This window comes from Homo sapiens, chromosome 13 (genome assembly GCF_000001405.40).
Source record: "Homo sapiens chromosome 13, GRCh38.p14 Primary Assembly".
Lineage (NCBI taxonomy): Eukaryota > Metazoa > Chordata > Mammalia > Primates > Hominidae > Homo > Homo sapiens.
In genome coordinates, this window is record NC_000013.11 from 98,629,256 (window position 1) to 98,649,320 (window position 20,065).

At 42.1% G+C, this 20,065-nt stretch overlaps 2 pseudogenes; both read right to left on the reverse strand.

Annotated features, from left to right (window-relative positions):
• CYCSP35 (CYCS pseudogene 35) lies at nt 230-702 on the reverse strand (annotated as a pseudogene).
• Nucleotides 11,554-12,052, reverse strand: CALM2P4 (calmodulin 2 pseudogene 4; annotated as a pseudogene).

The following is a 20,065-nucleotide window of genomic DNA, read 5'->3' on the forward strand; positions in this document are numbered from 1 at the left end:
TTAATACGCCAATGAACACAAATTAAACCACAGGTGAGTGTTACTTGGTTCTGAGACAGTGAAGATATTTCCCCAGTATTTAAATATAGTCATATAACCAGTTGTATAAATGTAAATATAAAACTGACCTCCAATATGTTTTGAGACAACATTTGCCATCTCTGTGAGAAGTTGGACATTACTAGTGAAGTCCAATCATATCTTTAGAAGGGGAAAATGGTAATAGTACTTTGAATTACTATCAAAATTCAAAAAAGCTGATCATATTCATTTAGCTATAAGCCAGTCTTATTTAAATCAGGACTGTTCAACCAAAATATCCTGTCATTCATGATCTGAATTCTGGTGTATGAGATCAAATTATGGTAACACATTTGAAAAGTCATGAGACATTTCTGTTTTGTAATAAACAAGGCAGTGGCCAATTATTATCCATTAGCAGCTTTTTTGAGATAAGCTATCAAGTCTGCCCTTTCTGACCTCTCAATGTCAGCAAAGATGATTTCTGTTCCAGGGATGTACTTCTTGGGATTCTCCTAAGACCCCATCGGTGTCTCCTCTCCCCAGGTGATGCCTTTGTTCTTACTGGCCTCTGTGTGAGAGGATCCAGCTGCCTGACTTGTCTTCTGCCCAAAGAGACCATGGGGATTTGGCCCAGTTATGTGCTTGCCTCCATTTTCCATGGTGTGGCAAGGGGTGCACCGTTTTTTGTTTGTTTGTTTTTTTTTTTTTTTTGAGATGGAGTCTCTCTTGTCGCGCAGGCTAGAGTGCAATGTGTGATCTCGGTTCACTGCAACCTCCGCCTCCCAGGTTCAAGCAATTCTCCTGCCTCAGCCTCCTGAGTAGCTAGGATTATAGGCACATGTCACCACACCCAGCTAATTTTTGTATTTTTAGTAAAGACAGGGTTTTACCATGTTGGCCAGGCTGATCTCGAACTCCTGACCTCAGGTGATCCGTTTGCCTCGGCCTCCCAAAGTGCTGGGATTACAAAGTCTTCTTACTGTTCTCCACACCACCCCTATTTAATAGTCTTTTTTGTTGCTCCCATTACAAAGGTTCCTGCTTAGAAGCCAGATGTCCCTCTCACTTCGTGTCCACATTTTCAAGTTTTAGATCAGGTTTCTTTGTAACCTTTTCTTCAGATGTAGTATATTTTCTAAATCCCTTCTCATAGATTAAACATCTAAAGTAGAGGATTCCATTGTATAATTTTTTTTTTTTTTTTTGAGACAGCGTCTTGCTCTGTTGCCCAGGCTGGAGTGCAGTGGCGCAATCTCCGCTCACTGCAACCTCCGCCTCCTGGGTTCAAGTGATTCTCATGCCTCAGCCTCCCAAGTAGCTGAGATTACAGGTGCCTGACACCACACCCGGCTAATTTTTGTATTTTTAGTAGAGATGGGGTTTCACCATTTTGGCCAGGATGGTCTCAAACTCCTGGCTTCAGGTGATCCACCCACCTCGGCCTCCCAAAGTGCTGGGATTACAGGTATGAACCACTGTGCCCAGCCTTTTTTTCTTTTTTTTGAGACAGAGTCTCGCTGGAGTGCAGTGGCGCAATCTCGGCTCACTGCAACCTCTGCCTCCTGGGTTCTACTAATCCTCCTACTTCAGCCTCCCGAGTAGCTGGGATTACAGGCACATGCCACCATGCCTGGCTAATTTTTGTATTTTTAGTAGAGATGGGTTTTTGCCACGTTGGCCAGGCTGGTCTCGAACTCCTGACCTCAAGTGATGCACCCACCTTGACCTCCCAAAGTGCTGGGATTACAGACGTGGGCCACCATGCCTGGCCCTAAGTGACATTCTTGAGGGCTGTGTCTCAGGCTTCTCTTTCTGGTTCTCTATGCGCTGCTAGGCTCACATGCCTGCTATTTGTAGGTAGATGTCTCTCACTGACCTCTGTGTGAGTCCGGACCATAACATCCTACTACCCATGACCCACTTTCCCCCGAGTCTGACAGCCACTCAGACGCTCTGTGGCCATGGCTGAACTCTTCATCTTTCCCACGATTGTGGCTTCTTTTTTTTTTTTTTTTTTTTTGAGATGGAGTCTCGCTCTGTCGCCCAGGCTGGAGTGCAGTGGCACGATCTCAGCTCACTGCAACCTCTGCCTCCCGGGTTCAAGCGATTCTCCTGCCTCAGCCTCCCTAGTAGCTGGGACGGCAGGCACCTGCCACCATGCCTGGCTAATTTTTTGTATTTTTAGTAGAGACAGGGTTTTGCCATTGCTAGGATGGTCTTGATCTCCTGACCTCGTGATCCACCCTCCTCGGCCTCCCAAAGTGCTGGGATTACAGGCGTGAGCCACCGCACCCAGCCGCTTCTTGCCATTTTGTTGTTGTTGTCTCAGTGAATGGTGCTCATGACACCCACTGGACTGCTCCACCTGAAATTTGGGAGTCGTCCTTGCCTCTTCTTCCTCCCATGCCTCAGCGTTCCATCAGGCATTCACCAAGCCCCCTGAGGCTCCTCCCAGTCTCTCCTCCATCCCTTCACCTGAGTTAGGGCCACCTCCGACTCCCCCCCAGATTCCTGCAGCCACCTCCTAATGAGGTCCCTGCCCCCCATCTTGTCTTCTTCCAACCCACTTTCTACACTGTATTCACAGTGATCTTTCTAGGATGCAAATTTGATCAGCATCCCACCCCTACCTCCACTCAAAACCCTCAAAGCCCTCAGAATAACGTTCAAACTTCCTAAAATGCCCCACAGTAAGGTGGCCTGTTCATGACCAAATTAGCAAACTGGAGTTTGTTCGGAAGAGAATCCTTTAAGACTGGATTTCCAGTCCTCCTCCTCCTGTGTGCCCAGTGGGATTTTGCCTTTGTCTCTCAGTAGCTTCCCATCTCTCCATCCTCCCAGGCAAGTCCAAGCTTTGGGGCTCAGTGGTACAGAAGCCCAGCAGGAAAGGAGGCAGTAGGAAGCTCTGAGAGGCTTTGCTTTTTTCATTTGTCTATTTCTTCTTTTTCAATTTTTTTTTAAAACTTAGAGAGAGCATCTCATTTTGTTGCCCAGGCTGGAATACAGTGCAGTGTTGGGATCAAAGCTCACTGCAGCCTCAATCCTCCTGCCTCAGCCTCCCAAGTAGCTAAGACTACAGGCTTGTGCCACCATGCCTGGCTAATTTTTTAAAATATGTTTTGTAGAGACCAGGTTTCGCTATGTTGCCCAGGCTGGTCTTGAACTCCTGGCCTCAAGTGATGCTCCTGCCTCAGCCACCCAAAGTGTTGGGATTACAGCATGAGCCACCACGTTCAGCCTCCTTTGTCTATTTCTTTTGAGACGGAGTCTCACTCTGTCACCCAGGCTGGAGTGCAGTGGTGTGATCTCGGCTCCCTGCAAGCTGTACCTCCCAGGTTCATGCCATTCTCCTGCCTCAGCCTCCCGAGTAGCTGGGACTACAGGCGCCCGCCACCACGCCCGGCTAATTTTTTTTTTTTTTTTGTATTTTTAGTAGAGACGGGGTTTCACCATGTTAGCCAGGATGATCTTGATCTCCTGACCTCGTGATCCGCCTGTCTTGGCCTCCCAAAGTGCTGGGATTATAGGCGTGAGCCACTGCGCCCGGCCTCCTTTTTCTGTTTCTTAATACAACATTGTCAGCGCACAGGCCCGTTCTCTGCTGCAAGGTGTTTCCATGTTTTCTTTAACACTTACAATCACCTTGTGAGGTAGGTTTTGTTCTTATTGCCATTTTGCAGTTGAGAAAACAGGCTCAGAGAACTTAAAAGACTTGCCCAAATTCCGTAGTCAGCAGGAAGCAGACCTAAATTCAAGTCCACATCCAAAACAACGAATGTCTTCCACTCTCTCATGCCGTTTCTCATACCCTTTCTGCTCCTTTTGCACTAGATTTCTCCAATGCCACTTCCTTCTGCATTTTCACTTCTTTTGTGCAAGGGAAGTGTTTCTTCTGGCTTCCTGTCTCAGCTCTCCCACGGAGCCCTTCTGCCTGTTCTATTGCATTCCACAGAGCTGATGAATGAGCTATCACTGAAAATGGATCTTCTTATTTGAAAATATAATTATTAATTTAATTTTTAGAACAAGTAATTTGTATCAATGGCTCAAAAATTAAACACACAGAAAGATATAGAGGGAAACTATTTCTACTATCTCCCATCTTTTTGTTTCCCATCGATCATCACTTCCATTATTTTCTTATTTGTTCAGAGCTTCTCCATGTGGTACAAGTACCAATATCTATTCTGTTACCCCTTACCTTTTTTATTTATTTATTTATTTACTTATTTATTTATTAATTAAGACAGAGTCTCGCTCTGTTGCCCAGGCTGGAGTGCAGTGACACCATCTAGGGTCACTGCAACCCCTGCCTCCCGGGTTCAGGCCATTCTCCTGCCTCAGTCTCCCAAGTAGCTGGGATTACAGGTGCACACCACCACACCTGGCTAATTTTGTATTTTAGTAGAGATGAGATTTCACCATGTTGGCCAGGCTGGTCTCAAACTCCTGACCTCAGGTGAACCACGTGCCCACCTTGGCCTCCCAAAGTGCTGGGATTACAGGTGTGAGCTACCACGCCTGGCCACCCCTTACCTTTTATACAGAATTTTGCATACTATACACTCTTCTACACTTTCCTTTTTTCATTTAACAATAATATATATAAGAACCTGTCTTTTATCAGGGCATAGAAAGTTATCTCATTCTTTATTATAGCTGCAGAACAGTTCAATGAATGGATGTATTCCATGATTTATTTAGTTAGTTCCCTAGTGATGGAATTTGACTAGTTTCAATTCTTTGGCTATTATAGAAAATGCTGCAAGGAATAACCTTGAAGATACTTCATTTTGCACACATAGAATAAGTATGCCTTGTCAAAGGAAATACTTGATAGTGCCAAATATCTGTCATTATTTGTCTAATATTATATATTGTCTAATACCCATTCCCTGAATGAGAGTGCCTGGCCAACAGTTTGCATTGTCAAAGTTGGGAATTTTTACCAATCTTATAAACATTGGTATTTTACTGTAGTTTTAACATGCATTTTGTTTATGTGTAATGGGAACCGTCTTTTCATATTTTAAAGCTGTTTGTATTTTTTTTTGATAGCTGTTCATGTTCTGCTCTTTCCGGGATGGTGTTCTGGCCTTGTTGACACTTAAAGATTTTTGTATATTTCGGAGAGTAGTAGTTTGCTTGTGATATAAATCACATAAATACTTTTTTTAACTTTGTCATTTGTTTTCTGACTTTGCTTATAATGCTTTGTGCTATGCAAAAAGTGACTTCGTTTTTTTAAACTAACATACAGTAAAATTGAATTGTTTGGTGTGGAATTCTAGGAATTTGAACACACGTATAGACTGTGTAACCACCACTGCAATCAGCAGACAGAACTGTTCCATCTTCCCCAAAAAATTCTCGGTATTATCTTTCCCTCCACCCTTCCAGAGACCACCGATATGTTCTCATTCACTCTAGTTTTCTCCAGAATATCTTATAAATGGAATTATAAATATGGAGCCTTTGAGACTGGCTTGGCCCACTTAGCAAGCATAATGTCTTGAGATTGGCCTGATGTGTTGCCGCATTGATTACGTGTTCCTTTTGATTACTGGGTAGTACACCATTATATGGATGTACCACAGCTGTTTGTCCATTTACCTGTTGAAGGACAGTTCGATAGTTTCCAGTTCTTGGCAATTATGGATAGAGATATATAAGCATCTGTGTTGGCTGGGCACAGTGGCTCATGCCTGTAATCCCGGCACTTTGGGAGGCCGAGGCAGGCGGATCCCTTGAGGTCAGGAGTTCGAGACCAGCCTGGCCAACGTAGTGAAACCCCATCTCTAATAAAAACACACACAAAAAATTAGCCTGGCGTGGTGTGCACCTGTAATCCCAGCTACTCAGAGGCTGAGGAAGGAGAATCACTTGAACCCAGGAGGTGAAGTTTGCAGTGAGCCGAGATTGTGCCACCGCGCTCCAGCCTGGGCAGCAGAACAAGACTCTGTCTCAAAAAAAAAAAAAAAAAAAAAAAGCATCTGCGTACAGGTTTTTGAATAAACATGAGGTGAATACCTGGGAGCGGAATTTCTGTGTTGTATGTTTGACTCTATAAGAAGTGACAAGTTGTTCTCCAGAGTGGCTGTCTCATTTTGCATTCCCACCATGAAAGTATGAGCATTCCAGTTGCTTCTCATCTTCACCAGCAACTGGTGACAGTATTTTTATTTCAGCCATTTTAATAGATGTGTAACAGTGTCTCATTGTGGCTTCAATTTGCATTTCTCTAAAAATGGCTGTGATATTGAACATATTTTCATGTGATTATTTCCTTATGTTCTCTTTGGTGAAATATCTGCTCAAGTCTCGCCCATTTTTAAATTGGGCTACTTGTGTTTTTTTGCTGTTCAGTTTAGAGTTCTTTGTATATTCTAAACACAAGTCCTTTGTGGGATACATGATTTGAAAACATTTTGTTCCAGTGTGTAGTTTATCTTTCCATTCTCTTGGGTCTTTGTAGATAAAAATTTGTATCCACATGATACAAAATCATATAATTTTGATGATGTCTAATCATTTTTTTCTTTTATTGATTATGCATTTGGCATTCTGCCTGAGAACTCTTTGCTTAACTCAAGTTCATGAATACTTTCTTTTATGATTTCATCTGAAAGATAGCCTTTCATTTTACATTGAGATCTAAGATATATTTTGAGTTAATTTTTGCATAAGCTGTGAGATTTGGGGCTCATTTTTGTATGTGTGCATATGTTCAGTTGCTCAAACACCATTTATTAAAAAAGATAATGCTTTCTCCACTGAATTGCCTTTGCATTTTACTCAAAATTGGTCATATTTGTCTGGTCCAATATTTAGGCTCTCTTTCCTGTTGCACTGATCAATATGCCTAGCCCTTGCCGTACCACACTGTCTTGCTTACTTTAGCTTTATAAAAATTTAAAAATTTAGTAGTATGATCCCTCTGAATATATTTATTTCTTTCAAAATAGTTTTGACTACTCTAGTTCCTTTGCCTTATCAAATAAACTTTAGAATCAGCTCATCTATATCTACAAAAATCCCTACTGGGATTTTTTTTTTTTTTTAGATTGCCTTATATCCGTGCATTCATTTTGGGAGAATTGCCATATTTAATATGTTGAGTTTACTAATCTATGTTTTTGAGACAGGAGCTCACTCTGTTGCCCAGGCTGGAATGCAGTGGCACAATCACGGCTCTGCAGCTGCAACCTCCCAGGCTCAGGTGGTCCCCCTGAATAGCTTGAATCTCTTAATCTATGAACACAGTATATCTCTTATTAATTTTTGTCTCTTCAGTGTTCAAGTTTTATAGCTTTCAGTATTCAGATTCTATACATATTTTGTTAGATTCATACCTAATCATTTATTTTTGAGTGAGCGATTGTAAATAATGTGTGTGTATATATGTTTAAATTCTTCAATACACTTTGTACTATTAGTACATAGAAATACAATTGATTTTCATGTTGACCTCGTATTCTGCAACCTACTAAGCACATTTATCATATCTCGGAGGCTTTTTGTTGATTCTTTAGGATTTTCTATGTAGTCAATCATTTTGTCTGTGCAAGAAAACCATTTGGATCCCTTCCTAATGTGTATGTGCTTATTTCTAGATCTTGCCTTATTGTACTGGCTAGGACTTCCAGCATGATGGCAAAGAAGATGCCAAAACTTTTGTAGTTTTTGTTTTTACTTTTAAAGGTTGCATTTATCAACCTTTTCTCTTTTTTTTTTTTTTTTTTTTTGTTGTTGTTGAAATGGAGTCTCACTCTGTCACCCAGGCTGGAATGCAGTGGTGTGATCTCAGCTCACTGCAACCTCTGCCTCCTGGGTTCAAGCAATTCTCCTGCCTCAGCCTCTCGAGTAGCCAGGATTACAGGTGCGTGCCATCATGACTGGCTAATTTTTGTATTTTTAGTAGAGATGAGGTTTCACCATGTTGTTCAGGCTGGTCTCAAACTCTTGACCTCAAGTGATCCAGCCGCCTCGGCCTCCCAAAGTGCTGGGATTACAGGTGTGAGACACCACGCCTGGCCAATCTTTTCAACTTTTATTTTAGCTTTGGGGGTACACGTGCAGGTTTGTTACCTAGGTAAACTTGTGTTATGGGGTTTGATGTAGATTGTTTCATCACCCAGGCCCTAAGTCTAGTATCCAATAGTTATTTTTTCTGATCGTCTCCCTCCTCTCACCCTCCACCCTCAAGGAGGACCCAGTGTGTGTTGTTCCCTTCTTTTTTCTATGTGTTCTCACCATTTAGCTCTCACTTACAAGTGAGAACATGCGGTGTTCCTGTTAAAGATAATCTATCAATCATTTCTTAATGAATGATAATGTATCATTAAGAAATGATTGATGCATTATCCTTACATTTTTTATTTTGAGTAATGATAAAAATTGCTTTCCCACTGAAAGTTATTTTATAACTTTCCTTCCTATGTTTTTTGGAAAAATGATGGGCCGGGCACGGTGGCTCATGCTTGTAATCCCAGCTGAGGCATTTGGGAGGCTGAGGCAGGCAGATCATGAGGTCAGGAGATCGAGACCATCCTGGCCAACATGGTGAAACACCATCTCTAATAAAAATACAAAAATAAGCTGGGTGTGGTGCCGCATGCCTGTAGTCCCAGCTACTTGGGAGGCTGAGGGAGGAGAATCATTTGAACCCAGGAGGCAGAAGTTGCAGTGAACCGAGATTGCACCACTGTACTCCAGCCTGGAGACAGAGCAAGACTCCATCCCAAAAAAGAAAAAAAAAAAAAGATATTAGGGCAGCTACATTTGTGAGGCCTGGATGAGTGAGAAGGAGAGACTTAGCCATGTATTATGGTAGTTTATGTATTTCTTTTCATAGTGTCTGAGAAATGCTATATGAGAACTTGAGTTATTTTGAAATTAATTTTTTAATTATTGAACTCCATTCTTTAATCGCACTCCACTCACACTGGATGATGTGAGTGAGGGCTCTACGGGGGTCATATTACCTCAAGGATACAAAAGGTATCCACACTCATTTTTTTTTCTTGAGATGGAGTCTTGCTCTGTCTCCCAGGCTGGAGTGCAGTGGTACGATCTCAGTTCACTGCAATCTCCATTTCCCAGGTTCAAGGGATTCTCCTGCCTCATCCTCCCAAGTAGCTGGGATTACAGGCACCCGCCACTACACCCAGCTAATTTTTGTATTTTTAGTAGAGACGGGGTTTCGCCATGTTGGCCAAGCTAATCTTGCACTCTGGACCTCGAGTGATCCACCCGCCTTGGCGTCCCAAAGTGCTGGGATTACAGGCGTGAGCCACTGCACCTGGCCCACATTCAGTTTTAAAAAGAGTGTGTTTACTAATGTGAAGTGAGGCTTAAAGTTCAAGTGTCCTGCAAATTTTAAGTACGATTTCAAGAACAACTAATAAACATATAAAAACATGCTCAATCTTATGAGACATCATAAAAATCAAATTAAAGTTCCAGTGTGACACTATTGCATACTCAACACAATGGCTAAATGGAAAAGGACAAATACTGAGTATTAGTTAGGATATGAAAAAAACAGAATGTTTACGCCCTGCTGTTGTGAATATAAATTGGTACAATCAATGTGAAAAATTAGTGATATCTACCTAATGCTACCGTACATATCCCATGACCTGCCAATTACATACTTAAGTAGATGTTCAAGATAAATGCACAGCTATGTTTGACAAAAGATATACACAAGAATATTCATAGCAGCACTATGAGACTAGTCCGAATTGGAAGCTACTTAACTCTCCATCAACAGTGGAATGGGCCAGGTGTGGTGGCCCATGCTCGTAATCCCAGCACTTTGGGAGGCTGAGGCTGGAGGGTTGCTTGAGCCCAGAAGTTTGATACCAGCCTGGGCAACATAGGGAGCCCTGGTCTCTACAAAAACATTTAAAGAATTGGCCAGGCATGGCGACGTGTTCCTGTGGTCCCAGCTGCTCAGGAGGCTAAGGCAAGAGGACTGCATAAGCCCAGTGTGAGGTTACAGTGAGCTGTGGTCACACCACTGCACTCAAGCCAGGGCAACAGAGCAAGACCCTATCTCAAAAAAACACCAAACACACACACACACACACACACACACACACACACACACACACACACACACACCAGTAGAATACACAAAAAAATTATGGTATAGTCACATTGCTGTATACAAAACTATATCCACTAAGAATAAAGGCCAGGTGCACCTTGAATCCCAGCACTTTGGGAGGCCAAGGGGGAAGGATGGCTTGAGGCCAGGTGTTTGAACTAGCTTGCTTAACACAGTGAGACCCCGACTCTGGATAAGTTAAAAAAAAAATTAGGCCAGGCGCAATGGCTCATGCCTGTAATCCCAGCACTTTGGGAGACCAAGGCGGGCAAATCACCTGAAGTTGAGAGTTCGAGAGCAGCCTAGCCAACATGGTTAAACTCCGTTTCTACTAAAAAAAAAAATGTTAGCTAGATGCAGTGGTGGGCGCCTGTAATCCCAGCTACTAGAGAGGCTGAGGCATGAATCCGGGAGACAGAGGTTTCAGTGAGCCGAGATCATGCCACTGCACTCCAGCCTGGGCAACAGAGCAAGACTCCATCTCAAAAAAAAAAAAAAAATTAGGTGAGTGCAATGGCACATGCCTGTAGCCCCAGCTACTTGGGAGGCTGAGGAAGGAGGATTGCTTGAGCTCAGGAGTTTGAGGTTGCAGTGAGCCATGATCACACCACTGTACTCCAGCCTGGGCAACAGAGCAAGACACTATCTCAAAACAATAACAACAACAACAACAACAACAAACACGAATGAACAACCTGTAACTACATACAATACTGTGGATGAATCTCACAAGCATACAAGCATAACGTCAAGTGAAAGAATCTAGACACAGAATAATGCATACTGTGTGAGTCCATTTATATAAAGTTCAAAAATAAGCAAAACTGCTCTATGGGGTTAGGAATATAAGACAGCAGATACCCTAAGGGGTATAAGAGCAAAAGGAGGCATGAGAGAGCTTCTGATAACACTTGGTCTGTTGATATGAGCCCCATTACATGAGTGTGTTCAATTTGTGAAAATTTACCAATTTTACTATTATTATTTGTGTACTTTTCTGTGTATATTTTACACAAGTTTTAAAAACAAACATGTTTTTATTTAGTAATCATGATTGTTAATTGGTGGAATAAGACACAACTGGTCTCAAAATTCAGTCACATAATGCATTATTATTATTATTATTATTATTTGAGACAGAGTATCACTCTGTCACCCAGGCTGGAGTGCAGTGGTGCAATCTCGGCTCACTGCAACCTCCACCTCCTGGGTTCAAGCGATTCCCCTGCCTCAGCCTCCCAAGTAGCTGGGACCACAGGCATGTGCCACCATGCCCGGATAATTTCTGTATTTTTAGTAGAGATGGCATTTCACCATGTTAGCCAGACTGGTCTCGAACTCCTGACCTCAAATGATCTGCCCACCTTGGCATCCCAAAGTGCTGGGATTACAGGCGTGAGCCACCGTGCCCAGCCTGTGCAAACTCTTCACAGTTTACTTGACCGTCACCATCAATATCTGCTTCCCTGATCATTTCGTCAACCTCTTCATCTGTTAACTTCTCTCCAAGGTTTGTCATCGCATGGTGAAGTTCTGCTGCACTAATATAACCATTGCCATCCTTATCAAACACACGGAATGCTTCTCTCATTTCTTCTTCACTGCCTGCGTCTTTCATTTTTCTTGCCCTCATTGTCACAAATTCAGGGAAGCCAACTCTGCCATTACTATCAGCATCTACTTCATAAATCATGTCCTGTAACTCTGCTTCTGTGGGATGCCGCCTAAGAGACCTCATTTCTGTTCCCAGTTCCTTTGTTGTTATAGTTCCATCACCGTCTTTGTCAAATAGTAAATAAGCTTATTTGAATTCTACAATCTGCTCTCCAGTCAGTTGGTCAGCCATGCTGAAAGCGCTACCGGTTTCCGAGACGCGACTGCACGACCACTCGGCTCGCTCGCTCCACTCGGACTCCCTTCTACTTTAAAGATCAGATAATTTCAATGCTCTTAATTCCAGACCATAGAAAAAAAGAAAACTATAGATCAATTTCACTTATGAATATCAATGCAAAACTCTTAAATATAACTGTAGCAAGCAGAATCCAACAGCGCATTAAAAAATAATACATTGGCCAGGCGCAGTGGCTCATACCTGTAATCCCAGCACTTTGGGAGGCTGAGGCGGGCGGATCACCTGAGGTCAGGAGCTCGAGACCAGCCTGGCCAAAATGGCGAAACCCCATTTCTATTAAAAATACAAAAATTAGCCAGGCATGGTGGCAGGTGCCTGTAGTCCCAGCTACTTGGGAGACTGAGGCACGAGAATCGCTTGAACCTGGGAGGCGGAGGTTGCAGTGAGCCGAGATCGTGCCACTGCACTCCAGCCTGGGCGACAGAGAGAGATTCCATCTCAAAAAAAAAAAAAAAAAAAAAAGTTTGTACAGATGATGATAGCAAAGACCTTGCTCGAAATGTGTTAAATTTCTTTTACAAAATTATTTATTTGCCTTTTCTTTGTTTGTAACTTATCTGTAAAAGGTTTCTCCCTACTGTCAAAAAAAAAAAAAATGCATACATAGTAATTAGGACTTAATTCCTTCATGTTTTCTTCCCCTGTCTCACTGTCATTGTCCTGAAACTTTATTTTAGAAAATTGAGGCCGGGCGTGGTGGCTCACGCCTATAATTCCAGCACTTTAGGAAGCCGAGGCAGGCGTTTTAACTGAGGTCAGGAGTTCGAGACCAGCCTGGTCAACATGGTGAAACCCTGTCTCTACTAAAAATACAAAAATTAGCCGGGCGTGGTGGGACACGCCTGTAATCCCAGCTACTCGGGAGGCTGAGGCAGGAGAATCACTTGAACCCAGGAGGTGGAGGTTACAGTGTTGAGATAGCGCCATTGCACTCCAGCCTGGGCAATAGATTGAGACTCCGTCTCAAAAACAAACAAACACCACTATATATATATATATATGTATACTTAAAAGTAGCACTATTGCAAAATGGGCATATTATTCAGGTACTCTCATACTTTTTTTGAAATGGAGTCTCGTTCTGTTGCCTAGGCTGGAGTGCAGTGGCATGATCTCAGCTCACTGCAATCTCCGCCTCCTGGGTTCAAGCAATTCTCCTGCTTCAGCCTCCCGACTAGCTGGGACTACAGGTTTGAGCCACCACACTTGGCTAATTTTTATATTTTCAGTAGAGACGGGGTTTCACCATACTGGCCAGGCTGGTCTTGAACTCCTGACCTCCTGATCTGCCCGCCTTGGCCTCCCAAAGTGCTGGGATTACAGGCATGAGCCACCACCCCACTGGGCCTATACTCTTTTTTTGTACTACTGGTTCTGTACCAGAAACATTTTAATTGTTACTTGCTTTTTAAACTTTGTTTAGCCACTTAAAGAAAATCCACTTATGATACAATTTGCCTCAAATTCATTCCAAGTTGTATATTTGTTTTCTAATACAAAGTTACAATAAAATCATAATAATAAAGTAGATGGAAGGTAGAATTCCCCTGTGAAATCTGGGCTTGGCGTACTTAATTATTTATTTTTTTGAGACAGAGTCTCACTCTGTCGCCCAGGCTGGAGTGCAGTGGCTTGATCTCCGCTCACTGCAAGCTCCACCTCCTGGGTTCTCGCCATTCTCCCGGCTCAGCCTCCCGAGTAGCTGGGACTACAGGCGCCCGCCACCACGCCCGGCTAATTTTTTATATTTTTAGTAGAGGTGGGGTTTCACCATGTTAGCCAGGATGGTCTCGATCTCCTGACCTCATGATCCGCCCGCCTTGGCCTCCCAAAGTGCTGGGATTACAGGTGTGAGCCACTGCGCCCCGCCAGGCTTGGCATATTTTTGAGGAGAGCTCTTTAGCTACTTCTTCTATTTCTTCAACGGTAGTTAGCCTGTTTCAACAGGTTAATTTTTTTAAGTAGTGTTTTTCTTAAAAATTATGTATTTTACCTAAGTTTTCAAATTTATTTACAAGGAATTGTATATGGTAATGCCCAATTTTTTATTTCCTCTGTGTTATGGTTATTTCTAATTTTGTATATTTATCCTAGTGGTTTAACTGTTTAGTTTACATTTTCAGAAACCAACTTTTAGATTTATTAGTTCTGTTTATTTTCCAACTCATTAATTTCCGTTTTTATATTTATTGTGGTTTTTTTTCCCTTCTGCTTTGGTTTGGCTTATTTTGTTTTTTCTTTAGCTTTCTAGAAAGGAGGTTTAATCAATTAATTTCCATATCCCCTAGGTACTTAATGGTACTTATATATACTTAATGCAATAAATGTTCCCCTAATCACTGCTTTAGTAGTATGACACAGATTCTGATACATCATATTTTCATTATCTATATTTTCAAGAAGTTTCCATTTCAATTTCATTTTGACCCAAGAATTATCTAATAGTATACTTTGAAATTTGCAGGTGGAAGAATATTTTGCTTTCATTATTTCTAGTTATATTGCTCTGTGGTCAGAGACCACTGTGTACTTTCTTTCTATTTCTTGACATTTCTTGAGATATTATCCTTGTGCCCTAAAATGTGGTTATTCATGCATATGCACTTGAAAAAGTATATTCTCCAACGTTAGGATTTGGAGTAAGTTCTGTTCAGCCTACGTATTAAATAGGTTTTTAGTTTTGTATTCCTTCTTCCTTTTGTCTGCTTGATCAGGCTTCTACTGAGAGTGCTCAGGTCCACCCTTATCGGTGTGTTTGTTGGTTTCTCACACGTCCTAAAAGTTCTGCTTTATGAAAGTTTTAACTTTTAATTTTTTTAAGTTTTAAGTTTTTTTTTAACTTTTAACTTTTAAAACATATTAATTTTTCTGAATCTTTTTTGAGATGTGTCTCTTGTATATAGCAGAGTGGTAGAGTTCGCTCTTTTAAACAAGTTTGAAAATCTATTGTTTCTTGGCAACCAGTGGCAGCCGACAAGTCTGATGACACTGTGATGCCCTTTTTTAAAAAGCGACTTGATTTTTTTTTTTTTTTGCTTCAATATCCCCTTTTTTTTTGGCTGCATGCAGTGGCTCATGCCTGTAATCCTAGCACTTTGGGAGGCCGAGGTGGCAGATCACCTGAGGTCAGGAGTTCGAGACCAGCCTGGCCAATATGGTGAAATCCCATCTCTAATAAAAATACAAAGATTAGCCGGGTGTGGTGGTGCATGCCTGTAATCCTAGCTACTTGGGAGGTTGAGAAACGAGACTCACTTGAACTCTAGGGGGTGGAGGTTGCAGTGAGCTGAGATCACACCACTGCACTCAAGCCTGGAGGACAGAGCAAGACCCTGTCTTAAAAAAAAAAAAATCCCTTTTCTTCCTCTATTGTCCAATTGTTTTGCTAAAATATGACTTGGTGCTGGCTGTTCTGGGTCAGTTTCCCTAGGTATGACAGGTAGCGTGATCTTTTAGTAGGACGTTCCGGTTGTCTTTCTTTCAGGAGGTTTTTCTTTCTTAGATCACTAACTGTGCATCTTGGGCTAATTACTTAATCAGAAATGGAAGCCTCCATTTCTGTCTGAAAAAGGGAATAATGAGAGACCCTCTTTCACAAGAATGTTGTGAAAATTAAACATCATCATATGCGCAAAACCCTTGACTCTGTGTCTTGCAAATAGTAAGTGAATATTAAATATTAGCCAGTATGACAGAGAACCTTAATACCAAAAAAGATTCTTTCAGAACACCATTGATCTTCTTAGCATTAGAAGAATCAATTACACTTAAATCCACTGCCTTGTAGTAATACCCTTTCCTTGGATAATCACCAGTATAACACATACTAAAAATTTTGCTTTTTCAATTTTTCCTTTATAGTTTAAGGCATTTCACCTACATTACATTCATTGGTTTTACATAAGAATTGACAAGTAGGCAGTAGTTTTTAAATAAGCATTTAAAATGTCCGAATATAAAATTAATAGATGTTCATTGCAGAAACTTTGGAAACTGGAAAATAATATTTTTAAAGAAAAAACTTACCTTAACACCCAAAAAATACACTCACAAAATGGTAGGTTTACCCTCAAATTTTCTTCCTGTGCATTTAAAAATCAAAGTTGTGATTCTCTTTTACATACAATCTTTTGTCCTGGTTCTTAAACCCAATATAATGCAAATAATAACTTGTTAGCTTGAGCCACCAATCTCAGCACAGTGTCTTATCCAACAAAAACATACATGACCTTAAAAAGCCAGGAGAAGTCTGGGTGCGGTGGCTCATGCCTGTAATCCCAACATTTTGGGAGGCCAAGGCGGGGGGATCACGAGGTCAGGAGTTTGAGACCAGCCTGGCCAACATGGTGAAATCCTGTCTCTACTAAAAATACAGAAAAATTAGCCGGGTGTGGTAGTAACATGCCAGTAATCCCAGCTACTCGGGAGGCTGAGGCAGGAGAATTGCTTGAACCCAGGAGGCAGAGGTTGCAATGAGCTGAGATCACACCATTGCACTCCAGCCTGGGCAACAGAGCAAGACTTGGTCTCAGAAAAAAAAAAAAAAAAAAAAAGGCCAGGAGAAATCATGTAAAACTTTACCCAATATCTCTTATGAAGGTGGTGTTGGGGGAGATTGAAGCAGATGTAACAAGGAGAATTCCTAGAAAATTAGAGCAATGTAAAATGGACTTGGGGATGTTTTGCTGTGTTTTCGTGGTTAACACCCCCTTCAGAGTCCCCAGAGATGGTTACGGGACAATGACCCGTGTCTTGCTTGCCTTGCCTTAGCCCTCTGTTCTAGTTGTCCCTGACATCCATTCTCCCTTTATTTGCTATAACTGGGATTCTGGGTTTGGCATATGGTAGCTCTACTGACTATATTTCCAAGACCCTTTTGCATGAATGCATCATCGTGACCAAATTCTAGCCAACAGGGTGTGCCTAGAACTGACGCGTGTAACTTCCAGGCTGTGGTCCTGCAGGGAAGGGGTGTTCTTTTTTCTTCCCCTTTTCTCCTCCTTTAGAATGTGGGGACTGGAGCAGTCATCTTGCGCTATGAGATGGAGGCTGTGCTGAGAATGGTAAGTCACAGAAGGAAAAGAAACTGGGTCTCTGATGATGTTAGGATTCCCAGACAACCTGCCTGGATGTCTCTGCAAGATAATTAAACTTCCACCTTGTTAAATAGAAGTTTCCCTGTCAGAGCAACCAAACCTACATTCTAACTAATACACCTTCACATGTGAGTTTACACTCAGTTCTCATTGGCTTTGCACTTGCTCAGGTCTTTGATCCCCTGGTCTGGTATCTTTGCGAATGCCTCATCACACAGGTGGGTGATCCATTCCTGCCACCACCCTTCCCCGCCCAGGCCTGGGCATGGAGACCCTTCCCTTCTATCTTAGTGCCCCTCTAGCTCCATCAGGCAGAAGAGCCCATGAAGCATCTTGTTGAAAGTAATTAAGGCCAGGCGCGGTGGCTCACGCCTGTAATCCTGGCACTTTAGGAGGCCAGGTGGCCCAGGAGTTCAAGACCAGCCTGGACAACATGGTGAAACTGTGTCTCTAAAAAAAAAATTAAAAATTATCCAAGTGTGGTGGCGCATGCCTATAGTCCCAGTTACTTGGGAGGCTGAGGTGGGAGGATCACTTGAGCCCAGGAGGTGGAGGTTGTAGTGAGCCATGATCGAGTCACTGCACTCCAGCCTGGGTGACAGAGTGAGACTCTGTCTCAAAACAAACAAACAAACAAACAAACAAACAAACAAAAAACCCAAGTGATTAATAAACCTTAAAGAAACAATGTTTTGATAGCTGAAAATATTCCATTCTAGAATTTTTAAATCAAACCCTATTATTGGTTATTTAGGTTTGTTTCCAAATATTTGCCATTACAAAAAAAATAACAAGGCATAATGGGAGGAAAATTGGCTGAGAGAGGCAGATGGGAGTTTGACCTCTGCTCCGACCACTCACCATCTGGGTGATTTGGGACAAGGCATTTTTCCTCCCTGGCCTTCAGTTTTCTCCTTTGTAAAATAAACACTATAATACTCATCTCTCTGATTTGTTATGGAGATTAGAGACCATTACATAACTCAGCTAGCACAGTAGCAATCATATAGGAGGCTCAATACATGGTAATTACCAGCAGAGGAGTAGTTACGTGCTTTTGTACATAATACTATTTCTAGGTACCAGAGTTTTTTATTGATAAAACTCCTGAAGCAGGAGATTACTGGTTCAAACAATATAACTTGTTCAGATTCTTAATACACACTTGATAGGAATTATTTCTGACATTTTTTCAGATGAAGAAACCAAGGATCGGAGAAGTTAAGCCATTCATCTTGGGTTTTAGGGCTCATTAATAGTAGAGATCAGATTTAACCCATATTTTCTAACTTTTAATCTAGGGCAGTTTCTACTGTATGTCACACACCCAGAACCAGAACCCTTACAGTACAGGAAACTGAATTAAAACCCTTTGTGAAAATCAGATAGGCGTGATGGCTCACATCTGTAATCCCAGTATTTTGGGGGGCTGAAATGGAAAGATCGCTTGAGGCTAGGAGTTTGAGACCAGCCTGGGCAACATCTTGTCTCTACAAATAATAATTAAAATGTGTGTGTGTGTGTGTGTGTGTGTGTGTGTGTGTATTAGCTGGGTACAATAGCTCACACCTATAGTCCTAGCTACTGAGGCAAGAGGATCACTTGAGGTTGCAGTGAGCTATAATCTGTCTTCCACTTCAGCTTGGGCAAGAAAGTGAGACCTTGTCTCTCATAAACAAACAAACAATAAAAAACATTTTGTGAAAATCAACTGTGTTTGTATCAGCTTCTTTCTAATACTGTTGTTACATTCTGACCTCTGCTTCCTTCAGTGAACTTTATGGGTGTCTAATACCGTTGCTACATTCTGATCTCTGCTTCCTTCAGTGAACTTTATGGGTGTTCAGTAAGGAAGGGTGTGGAGAGAAGCCACCAGCTTCAGGGAGTCAGGAGGGCTGGGATTTCTTCCCAGTCTTGTTATCTACTATTCATATTCTCTTGGCAGAAAAGTCAACTTATCTGGGCCACAGGTAACTTATCTGTAAAGTGAGAGAACTCTGGGTGATACCTAAGGTCACTTCTTGTTTAAAGTTCAATCATTGAGCAGAGTGAGGTAGACAATTCTGAGGAATCCAGACTGAAACTGACTTCCTCCATGCCCTATAGTAAATATTAGGTCACAGCGGAATGAATTGTTGCAAAAGGTATGTACATTTGTTCGTAGATTTTCATTCAATTTTTTTTTTTTTTTTGGGGACAAGGTCTCACTCTTTTGCTCAGGCTGGAGTGCAGAAGCACAATTACAGCTCACTGCAGCCTCAACCTCCTGGGCTCAAGCCATCCTTCCATCTCAGCCTCCTGAGTAGCTGGGACTATGCGTGTGCACTACCACAGTTGGTTGATTTTTTTGATGTTTTGTAGAGACAAGGTCTCAGTATGTGGCCCAGGTTGGTCTTGAACCCTGGAGCTCAAGCAATCCTCCTGCCTCAGCCTCCCAAAGTGCTGGGATTATAGGTGTGAGTCACCGTGCCTGGCTCAAGATATCTTTCTACATCAGAAGGACTCCTCATGTATGCATCATCCCATAAATGTTCAGGAGAAGTTGTGTTGAAAATTGAAGATGGGTCTACTCAAGAGTTTTATGTGTAAGAAAAGCATGTATTCGTATGGTAAAGGGCTGGAGGGAAATGAAGAAAGGAGAACCACTTGATTTGGAGAGATAATATAACAGTAGAATTTGTCATGTTTTTGTTAAAGGGATAGAGTCTTGCTCTGTCACCCAGGCTGGAGTGCAGTGGCACCATCATAGCTCACTGCAGCCTCAAACTCCTGGGCTGAAGGGATTCTCCTGCCTCAGCCTCCCAGGAAGCTGGGAATATAGGAGCACACCACCACACTTGGCTAATTTGTTTTATTTTTTGTAGAGACAGGGTCTTGCTGTGTTTCCCAGGCTGGTCTCAAACTCCTGGCCTCAAG